Source organism: Homo sapiens, chromosome 1 (assembly GCF_000001405.40).
Source record: "Homo sapiens chromosome 1, GRCh38.p14 Primary Assembly".
NCBI classification, from domain to species: Eukaryota; Metazoa; Chordata; class Mammalia; order Primates; family Hominidae; genus Homo; species Homo sapiens.
Genome location: NC_000001.11, coordinates 78209758 through 78221197, shown reverse-complemented (window position 1 = coordinate 78221197; position 11440 = coordinate 78209758). Strand labels below are relative to the sequence as shown.

Below are 11440 nucleotides of genomic sequence, written 5' to 3'. Positions count from 1 at the left end.
CACTAATAAAAGAGGTGATATCTGTGCTCAACCTTGAAGTATGAATTACAACACAACAGAGAAAAGAAAAAAGACATTCCAGATAGAGGAGGCAGTACATGCAAAGACTCAGAGACATTCCCTCATATAGGGCTCCATCAGGGAAGCACAATCAGTATGACAGGTATGGAATAAGAGATTTATTGTAGAAATTAAACCTAACAGAGTTGTTGGAGAAGCTAGGAATGTAAAAGCCTGGAAGGGGAAGAATGGAGGATCAGGAAAACGTCACTGATCAGAGACAACAAAAAATGGAAACTGGTGGAAAAAGCAATGGAAGGTGGTTGTCTCTGTGTCTAGTGGTTGGTCCAAAGTCGCTGTGGGTCATCAGGTGTGGAAGATTTAAAAAAAAAATCAGGACACAAATCATGAGACAGCAAGGACAAACCTTAAGGTACAAGACAAAGAAGACCTTTAAAAACAAGTTGGAACATACAAAGACAAAGTGCAACCAGCATCTGTCTCTTACTAATAGTGCAGGTGCCGTGTGGAAGAAGCTGGTATTCTTCACCACAAAACACACTTATTCCTGGCCCAGGGCTCAAAGAAGTTGAAAGAGTGGCAAGAGCTGGAGGAGCTGTGGGTCCAGCAGTTGTCCCACATCTTCCAGGTGAGCCGGCTCTGGGCCTTGCATTGCCCTGCTGAGCATGATGCCTGCTGCTTTGCTTCCACCTCCCAAATCCTGCACAAATGTCTCTTGGAACCAACTCTAATGCAGAACCATACAGACGTTAATTCTGAGATTCATAGTTATAGTTCAGCTAAATTGGCATAGTATAAAACCTACATACTTGGAAGATTGTTCAGGGAAGAGCACATAGCTCCTTTTGTTGGAACGAGAGGAGTAAGTTGGGAGAAGATAGAAGAGGAGGAAAATTAACCTATAAAGAAGGTTGGTAAGATCCAAATTCTAAGATCCCTATTTGTTCCAAAAGGGTTTTAATAGTTATGGCTGAGTAGTAATAAAGCACTGTGGCAGACCAGCTAGATGCTCACGAGTCTCATCACCTCTTCTTGAAAACACGGAAAGACTGTATTTCCTGATGTATAGATTGTGAAGATTTTCTCCCACTCTGTGGGTTGTCTGTTTACTCTGCTGACCGTTCTTTTTGCTGTGCCAAAGCTCTTTAATTTAATTAGGTCCCAGCTATTTATCTTTGTTTTTATTGCATTTGCTTTTGGGTTCTTGGTCATGAAATCCTTGCCTAAGCCAATGTCTAGAAGGGTTTATCCAATGTTATCTTCTAGAATTTTTATATTTCAGGTCTTAGGTTTAAGTCCTTAATTCATCTTGAGGTAAGAGATGAGGATCCAGTTTCACTCTCCTACATGTGGCTAGCCAATTATCCCAGCACCATTTGTTGAAAAGGGTGTCCTTTCCCCACTTTATGTTTTTGTTTGCTTTGTCAAAGATCAGTTGACTGTGAGTGTTTGGGTTTATTTCTGGGTTCTCTATTCTGTTCGATTGGTCTATGTGCCTATTTTTGTACCAGTACCATGCTGCTTTGGTGACTATGGCCTTATAGTATAGTTTGAAATCAGATACCGTGATGCCTCCAGATTTGTTCTTTTTGCTTAGTCTTGCTTTGGCTATGTGGGCTCTTTTTTGGTTCCATATGAATTTTAGAATTGTTTTTTCTAATTTTGTGAAGAATGATGGTGGCATTTTGATAGGGATTGGATTGAATTTGTAGATTGCTTTTGGCAGTATGGTCATTTTCACAATATTGATTCTACCCATCCATGAGCATGGGATGTGTTTCCATTTGTTCATGTCATCTATGATTTCTTTCAGTAGTGTTTTGTAGTTTTCCTTGTAGAAGTCTTTTACCTCCTTGGTTAGGTATATTCCTAAGTATTTTATTTTTATTTTTTCTTTTGCAGCTATTGTAAAAGGGGTTGAGTTCTTGATTTGATTCTCCACTTGGTCGCTGTTGGTGTATAGAAGAGCTACTGATTTGTGGCTGGGCGTGGTAGCTCATGCCTGTAATCTCAGCACTTTGGGAGGCTGAGGTGGGTGAATCACCAGGTCAGGAGTTCAAGACCAGGCTGACCAACACGGTGAAACCCCATCTCTACTTAAAAAAAATAAAATTAGCTGGGCGTGGTGGCGCATGCCTGTGATCCCAGCTACTCAGGAGGCTAAGGCAGGAGAATTGCTTGAACTTGGAAGGCAGAGGTTGTAGTGAGCTGAGAGTGCACCACTGTATTCCAGCCTGGGCGACAGGGTGAGACTCCATCTCACAAAAAAAAAAAAAAAAAAGAAGAGCTACTGATTTGTGTACATTAATCTTGTGTCTGGAAACTTTGCTGAATTCTTTTATCAGTTCTAGGAGCTTTCTGGAGGAATCCTTAGGGTTTTCAAGGTAAACAATCATATCATCAGCAAACAATGACAGTTTGACTTCCTCTTTACCCATTTGGATGGCCCATAATTCTTTCTTTTGTCTGATTGCTCTGGCTAGTACTTCCAGTACTACATTGAAGAGGAGTGGTGAGGGTGGGCATCCTTGTCTTGTTCTAATTCTCAGAAGCAATGCTTTCAACTTTTCCCCACTCGGTATTATGTTGCCTGCGGGTTTGTCATAGATGACTTTTATTACATTAAAGTATGTCCCTTGTATGCTGATTTTACTGAGAGTTTTCATCATAAAGTCATGCTGGATTTTGTCAAATGCTTTTTCCGCATCTACTGAGATGACCATGTGATTTTTGTTTTTAATTCTGTTTATGTAGTGTACCACATTTATTGACTTGTGTATGTTAAACCATCCCTGCATCCCTGGTATGAAACCCACTTGAACAGAGTGGATTATCTTTTTGATATGTTGTTGGATTTGGTTAGCAAGTATTTTAAGGATTTTAGCATCTATGTTCATCAAGGATATTGGTCTGTAACTTTCTTTTTTGGTTATGCCCTTTCCTGGTTTTGGTATTAGGGTGATGCTGGCTTCAGAGAATAAATTAAGGAGGGTTCCTTCTTTCCCTATCTTGTAAAATAGTGTCAAAAGGATTGGTACCAATTCTTTTTTGAATGTCTGGTAGAATTCTGCTGTGAATCCATCTAGTCCTGGATTTTTTTTGTTGGTAACTTTTTAATTATCATTTCAATCTCACTGCTTGTTATTGGTTTGTTCAGGGTATCTGATTCTTCCTGATTTAACATAGGAGGATTGTATTTTTCCAGGAATTTATCCATCTCTTCTAGGTTTTCTAGTTTATGTGCATAAAGGTGTTCATAGTGGCCTTGATTGATCTTTTATATTTCTGTGGTGTCAGTTGTAATATCTCCTGTTTCATTTCTTAGTGAGGTTATTTGGATTTTCTCTCTTCTTTTCTTGGTTAATCTTGCCAATAGTCTATCAATTTTATTTATTTTTTTCAAAGAATCAGCTTTTTGTTTCATTTTTTGATGTTGTTGTTTCAATTTCATTTAGTTTTGCTCTGATCTTGGTTATTTTCTTTCTTCTGCTGGGTTTGGGTTTGGTTTGTTCTTGTTTCTCTAGTTCCTTGAGGTGTAACCTTAGAATGTCAGTTTGTGCTCTTTTAGTCTTTTTGATGTAGGCATTTAGAGCTATGAACTTTCCTCTTAGCACTGCCTTTGCTATATCCCAGAGGTTTTGATAAGTTGTGTCATTATTGTCATTCAGTTCGAATAATTTTTTAATTTCCATCTTGATTTTGTTTTTGACCCAATGCTTATTCAGGAGCAGGTTACTTAATTTCCACTTATTTGCATCGTTTTGAAGATACCTTTTGGAGTTGATTTCCAGTTTTCTTCCACTGTGGTCTGAGAGGGTGCTTGATATAATTTCAATTTTCTTAAATTTATTGAGGCTCATTTTGTGACCTATCATACGGTCTATCTTGGAGAAAGTTCTATGCGTTGTTGAATACAATGTGTATTCTGCAGTTGTTGGATGAAATGTTCTGTATATATCTGTTAAGTCCATTTCTTCCAAGGTATACTTTAAGTCCATTGTTTCTTTGTTGACTTTCTGTCTTGATGACCTGTCTAGTGCTGTCAGTGGAGTATTGAAGTCCCCCACTATTATTGTGTTGCTGTCCATCTCATTCTTAGGTCTATTGGTAATTGTTTTATAAATTTGGGAGCTCCAGTGTTAGGTGCATATATGTTTAGAATTGTGATATTTTCCTGTTGGACAAGGCCATTATATAATATAATTATATAATGTCCCTCTTTACCTGTTTTAACTGTGTTGCTTTAAAGTTTGTTTTGTCTGATATAAGAATAGCTAACCCTGCTTGCTTTTGATGTCCATTTGCATGAAATGCCTTTTTTTACCCCATTACTTTAAGTTTATGTGAGTACTTTTGTGCTAGATGAGTCTACTGAAGGCAGCAGATGGTTGGTGAGTTCTTATCCATTCTGTGATTCTGTATCTTTTAAGTGGAGCATTTGTTCCATTTACAACCAATGTTAGTATTGAAATGTGAGGTACCATTTCATTCATCATGCTCTTTGTTGCCAGTGTACTTTGGATTTTTGGTTTTTGCTTTTTAACTTGTATTTTTGTTTTATTTCTGTTATGTGTGATTTCTGTTTTAAAGAGGTTCTGTTTTGATGTGTTTTCAGGATTTGTTTCAGAATTTAGAGCTCCTTTAAGCAGTTCTTATAGTGGTGGCTTTGTAATTGTGAATTCTCTCAGCATTTGTTTGTTGAAAAAGACTGTATCTTTCCTTCATATATGATGCTTAGTTTCACTGGATACAAAATTCTTGGCTGATAATTGTTTTGTTTGAGGAGGCTGAAGATAGGGCCCCAATCCCTTCTAGCTTGTAGGGTTTCTGCTGAGAAATCTGTTGTTAATCTGATAGGTTTTCCTTTATAGGTTACCTGGTGCTTCTGTCTCACAGCTCTTAAGATTCTTTCCTTTGGCTTATCTTTAGATAACCTGATCACAATGTGCCTAGGTGAAGATCCTTTTGCGATGAATTTCCCAGGTTTTCTTTGTGCTTCTTGTATTTGGATGTCTAGGTTTCTAGCAAGGCTGGGGAATTTTTCCTCAATTATTCCCCCAAATATGTTTTCCAAGCTTTTAGAATTCTCTTCTGCCTCAGGAACACAAATTATTCTTAGGTTTGGTCATTTAACATAATCCCAGACTTCTTGGAGGTTTTGTTCATATTTTCTTATTCTTTTTTCTTTGTCTTTGTTGGATTGGGTTAATTTGAGGACTTTGTCTTCAAGCTCTGAATTTCTTTCTTCTACTTGTTCAATTCTATTGCTGAGACTTTCCAGAGCATTGTGCATTTCTAAAAGTGTGTTCAAAGTTGCCTGAATTTTTTTTTTTGAACTATCTATTTCCTTGAATATTTCTCCCTTTATTTCTTGCATCACATTTTGGATTTCCTTGCATTGGGCCCTGCCTTTCTCTGGTTCCTCCCTGATTAGCTTAATAACTAACCTCTTGAATTCTTTTTCAGGTAAATCAGGCATTTCTTCTTGGTTTGGATCCATTGCTGGTGAACTAGTGTGATTTTGGGGGTGTATGGAAAAGGCTTGCTTTGTCATATTACCAGGGTTGGTATTCCAGTTCCTTCTCAATTGGGTATGTTATAAATAAAGTTTTGATGCCACAAAAGAAATAGCCCTTGAATATAAAATTTTCTTTTTAATTCTCAGCAAAACAATGTACTTCTATAGAAGGGTGCACCCTTACAGATGGAGCAATTGGTGAGTGCACACTTGGACAAGGGAAGGGAAGGGGTCCTTATCCTTGATGTACATGGCACCTGCTTCTGTGTTGTTCCCCTATTGGCTAGGGTTAGACTGCACAGGCTAAACTAATTCTGATTGGCTAATTTAAAGAGAGTGATGGGATGAGTGGTTTGGTGGGAAAAATGGTTATGGCAGAGCAGGAAATCGGAATGAGTCAGGGTGGAGAATCAGCAGGTAATCAGAATGAGTCAGATGGAGCAGGTAATCAAAAAAGGTTGCTTTATGGGGAAGTTAAGTTTAAAAGTAGAAGGCAAAGAATTGAACAAACTGACATATTGATTCTTTGAAGAGAAATTTAGAACTCATATCTAACAGGTAGGCTCTGTCAGACCTGTCAGGTCTAGGGCTCAAGGCTGTTGTTCAGATTATTTTGTCCCACGGAGTGTTCCCTTGATGTAGTACTCTCCCCTTTTTCCTATGGATGTGGCTTCCTGTGAGCTGAACTGCAGTGATTGTTGTCTCTTTCTGGGTCCTGCCACCCAACAGGTCTGCCCGGCTCCAGGCTGGTACTGAAGGTTGTCTGCAGAGATTCCTGTGATGTGAGCCATCTATGGGTCTCTCAGCCATGGATACCAGTGCCTGTTCCAGTGAAGGTGGCAGGGGGGTCCAATGGACTCCTTGAAGGTTCTTAGCTTTGGCGGTTTAATGTTCTATTTTTGTGCTGGTTAGCCTCCTTCCAGGAGGTGGCACTTTCCAAAGAGCATCAGCTGTGGTATTATGGGGAGGAAATGGCAGTGGGTGTGGCCTTAGAACTCCCAAGATTATATGCCCTTTGTCTTCTGCTATCAGGGTGGGTAGGGAAGGACCATCAGGTGGTGGCAGAACTAGGTGTGTCTGAGCACAGACTCTCTTTGGGCGGGTCTTGCTGCGGCTGCTTCGGGGGATGGGGGTGAGATTCCCAGGTCAATGGAGTTGTGTACCTAGGAGGATTATGGTTGTCTCTGCTGAGTCAGGCAGGTTGTCAGGGAAGTAGGGGAAAGCCGGCAGTCACAGGCCTCACCCAGCTCCCATGCAAACCAAAGGGCTGGGTCTCACTCCCACCATGCCCCCTCCCCCAACAGCCTCCAGACCATTTCCAGGTGGAGAGCAATATGGGCTTGAAAACCTGCCTCAGGCTATCCGCCTCCCAGATATGAAAGAAAAGGGCTTGGTTCTTCCCCACCTGTGCAGTCTGCACACCAGATGCACCCTCCCCCAAGTTCTGGTCAGGAGGCTTCTCACCCCATTCAAATTGTTAGAAAGTTCAGCTAGAGATTTGCTTCTTCCTGTGTAGTTTTACCCCCTGCTCCTCTCTGGTTGGATCCCTGTGGTGCCAGACAAGAATGGCCTGCTAGGAGACCCAGCCAGCTCCCAGGGCCTTTCTGCTGCTTCCTCTACCCCTGTATTTCACTCAGCTCTCCGAATTGACTCAGCTCCAGGTAAAGTCGGAGACTTCTCCCACAAACAGACCTTCAGCTTCTCTAGTGGGGGTGTGTGTTCGGGAGAGGAGAGTCTCCCTTTCCCACATCCACAGTTGGGCACTCGCAGTTTTGAGGGGTGTCCTGGGTCCTGCAGGATCAGTCTACTTCCTACAGAGGGTCTGTGGATCCTCTCAGGATTGCTGGTTTCTTCTTGCAGTCAATCTGGAGCTAAACTTCACAGTGTGGGCCACCTCCCACTACTCTGTCCAGAGCGGCAATCTAGTCCTGCCTCCCATCTGCCATGATCTTCCGTCTTGCATCTTTATGCAACTTGCCCACTGTATGCCTTTTAATTGGGGCACTTAACCCAGTTACATTCAAAGTTAATATTGATATGTCTGGATTTGTTTCTGTCATCAGGTTGTTAGCTGGTTGTTATGCAGACTTGTTTGTGTGATTGCATTATAGTGTCACTGGTCTATGTATTTAAGCGTGTTTTTGTAGTGGCCAGTAATGGTCTTTCCTTTCCATGTTTAACACTCACTTCAGAACCTCATATAAGGCAGGTCTGGTGGTAACAAAATCCATTAGCCTTTGCTTGTCTGAAAAGGATCTTATTTCTCCTTCACTTATGAAGCTTAGTTTGGCTGGATATAAAATTCTGGGCTCGAAATTCTTTTCTTTAAGAATGCCAAATATACGCCCCTCTTCTCTTCTGGCTTGCAGTCTTTCTGCTGAAAGGTCCACTATTAGCCTGATGGGGCTCCCTTAACATTTTTAACATTTTCCGTTTAACATTTTTCTTTCATTTCAACATTGAAGGATCTGATGGCTATGTTTCTTGGGGATGGTCTTCTTGTGAAGTACTTCACCAGAGTTCTCTGCATTTCCTCAATTTGAATGTTGGCCTCTCTAGCAAGGTTGGGGAAGTTTTCATGGATGATATCCTGAAATATGGTTTCCAAGTTGCTTGCTTTCTCTCCCTGTCTTTCAGACACACCAGTGATTCATAGATTTGGATTCTTTAGATAATCCCAAATTTCTCAGAGATTTTGTTCATTCTTATTTATGGGTTTTTTTTTTATTTTTGTCTGACTGAGTTATGTCAGAGAGCAGGTCTTTAAGCTCTGAGATTCTTTCCTCAGCTTGGCCAATTTTATTAATAGTTGCAATTGTATTCTGAAATTCTTGAATTGAGTTTCTCAGTTCTATCAGCTCAGTTTTGTTCTTTCTTAAAACAGCCATTTCATCTTTCATCTCCTGTATCATTTGATTGCGTCTCTTAAGAATCCTTGGATTGGGTTTTGACTTTCTCCTGCATGTTGATGATCTTCATTCCTATCCATATTCTGAATTATATTTCTGTCATTTCAGCCATTTCAGCCTGATTATGAACCATTGTTGGGGAACTAGTGTGGTTGTTTGGAGTAAGAAGACACTCTGGCTTTTTGAGTTGCCAGAGTTCTTGCACTGCTTCTTTCTCATCTGTGTGGGCTGATGTTTCTTCCATCTTTGAAGTTGCCATCCTTTGGATAGGTTTGTGGGGTTTTTGCTTTTATCTTCTTCATTTCTAGCAGATATTTGTTTCTAGTAGATATTTGAAGGCATAGCTCAGCACTCCTGGGCTGCATGCTGTAACCTCGGGGAGCTGGTATCAGGCCCCTGGCATTGTTCTCTGCCCCCTCAAGGCTGGGAACCTGTTTCACTGGAGGGGCTGAGGTGTTCCTGGACTGCTGGCCCCAACACTCCAAGCACTTTTTTGAGTGGTGGCAGCTCATGCTAGCAGCAACAGCAATGAAACAGGGTGCATGCTTGTCAGCTGGGGTGGGGCACTGATGGGCTTGGGGCTGCCAACCTCTGTATGGACATTAGCAGCTGTGGCAGTGTTGGCACAGGTGGGAGTTGAAGGGCGGGAACTGCTGGGGTCTGTGTGCACATCAGCACCTGCAGCAGTGTCATCATGGGGCAGGGCAACGGCAATCCTGCAGCATAGTGGTGGAGGGTGGTGGGTGCATTCATACCAGCGGCAATGACACAGTGGGGTGCATGCACACCCACGCACCAGCAGAGAAAGGGAGGTGAGGTCCACCCATGCACACATGCACTGGTAAAGCTATGACGGGGTGGCTGTGGCACAGGGAAGGCTGCAGTAGGGGGAGGGTACAAGCGGGCTGGTGCATGTCAGGAAAGTCCACTCTGCTGGAGCTCTCTGACTGTCAGGCATGTTCTACCAGCACAGGAGCTATGATGTGGCCTCTGAGAGGCACCCCAGGATGCACTGAAAGCAGGCACAGCCAGGCTGGGGCCCCAGGAGAGGCCAGGAGACAGAAAGGCATTCAGGTCAGACTGGCCCTGTCTCACAGGCGAGATCATCCTGTTCTGTTCAGTCCCAACAGTTCTCCTAAGGCTAGAGTCTTGTAGGTGAGCAAAGCAAGCCTTGGGGGATGAGCGTCCCTGGCCATACTTCCCTGCAGAAGTTCCCACACCAAACCCTCTGGACTCCAAACAGACTGGAGCCCTGCCCCTACCACCTCTCTAAGCAGCTCTCCTTGCTAGCTCATGTGTTCCATGTGAGTCATGGGGCTCACCTGCTGCCCAGATTTCAGAGGTCCATGGGGAGGGTGGGTCACTTTTTGTCTGCTCAACTCACCCCTACCCTAGGAGTCACTCAGGGCCAGGAATGAGTCCTGGTTTACAGTAGCCCCATGCAGGGTTACACCTTCTTCCCCCTTTAGCCCAGTGTCTGTGTCCTGCCTCCATCCACTCTCAATGCCATCCTTCTGAAGATCTGCTTGGACTGCACCAGTCTTCCCTGTGTCCTGGCCTTGGTGGCAGATGTTCCTCCTAGCTGCATCTAGTCAGCCATCTTGCCACAAATCAGTTTTTTTAAGGTTCCTTAAAAATTTCAATTGTGATATTTGATTTAAATTATAATAAACCTATAAATTTTCAATTTGAAGTAATTTATATCTTCAAAGTTTTTGGTACTCCAGTCAAGAAACAATGTATATCTCTTAATTATTTGTCTTTTATTTTTCTCAGAAGAGTTTTCAATATATTTCATGCAAGTTCTATTTATTCATCAAGATATTTTTATGTCTTCTAAAATTATTTCAGTTGGGATGCTTTTTCCTGTTGGATTTTTTACCTATTGATAGATATGTCTAGCTACTGTACTAAACATTTACTTTCTAATCCCAATTATTTACAACCTTGTTTCTCTTGGAATTTCTGGGTGCACAATAATATCCTCTGAATATAATAATATTATCCATTTCAGTATATACATCCCTAATTTCTGTTTCAGGTCTTATTAAATTCACCATAACTTCCAAAACAATGTTAAATTTTAAAATGGTAATTAGTAGGCATCTTTGCTTTATTTATTATTTTAATACGAATGCCTCCAGGAATTCAATGTTAAATAGACATTAATAAGATAAGAAGACATCCCTCAGAGGTTTTAAAATAGCAAAATGATATAGACATGTTTGTGACTATATCACTATTATTTTGAGAAAAAATAAAGGTCTTTGTCTTTGCATGCAGGCTATCCTAGTGAAACAGCATGGGCCTTGGAATCCAATATATGTAAATTTAAGACTGACTTTACCTCTTTGTGGTGGGTGGAATTCTAACATGATCCTCTAGTGACTCACATCCTTGTATAGTCCTGTCCCCTTGAGTGTAGGAGGGACTTAGGGATGTGATAGGATAAACTCTCTTTAATTGGTGTATATTATATACCACATTTGACCTTCAAAAAGAGAAATTATCCTCAGTGGTCCCAACCTAATCAGGTAAACCTTAAAAAGGTGAAGCTTTCCCTGGCAAGAGATTTGAAGCATGAGAGGGATTCAACACAAGGGAGAGTCTCTCTTAATAGCTTTGAAAATGGAGGAAGCCATGTGGCAAGGAATACAGAAGATAGGACTTGAGAGTCGCCCCAGCTGACAGCAAGCTACAACCATGAAGAATTTAATTCATCCAACAACAAGAAGGATATTGGGACCAGATTCTTTTTCAGAGACTCCAGAAAAGAAATGGCAGCCTGGGCAACATCTAGATTTCAGACTTTCAAGAATGTGAACAGAAAAACCACCCTTACCATGACTAAGCCTCTAATTTACAGAACTGTTAGCTAATAAATGGGTGTTATTTTCAGCTGCTAAGTTTGTAGGAACACATTATGCAACAAATAAAATTAATATACAATAGCTGAGTGAACTTGAAGCCACTCCTTAACCTCTCAAAGCTT

General features: G+C 41.4%; 3 annotated features.

The window, feature by feature from the left end:
• Positions 8723-9223: an enhancer, noted in NCBI's record as "H3K4me1 hESC enhancer chr1:78677659-78678159 (GRCh37/hg19 assembly coordinates)". NCBI's record gives its function as "activates a minimal SCP1, AML or CMV promoter by ChIP-STARR-seq in naive H9 embryonic stem cells {active_cell/tissue: H9 hESC(naive)}" and the evidence as "EXISTENCE:reporter gene assay evidence [ECO:0000049][PMID:30033119]".
• Positions 8723-9228: a biological region, named in NCBI's record as "H3K4me1 hESC enhancer GRCh37_chr1:78677659-78678159".
• Positions 8978-9228: a silencer, noted in NCBI's record as "fragment chr1:78677654-78677904 (GRCh37/hg19 assembly coordinates)". NCBI's record gives its function as "represses an EF-1alpha promoter that drives an FKBP-Casp9 reporter gene in an ReSE screen in HepG2 liver carcinoma cells {active_cell/tissue: HepG2}" and the evidence as "EXISTENCE:reporter gene assay evidence [ECO:0000049][PMID:32094911]".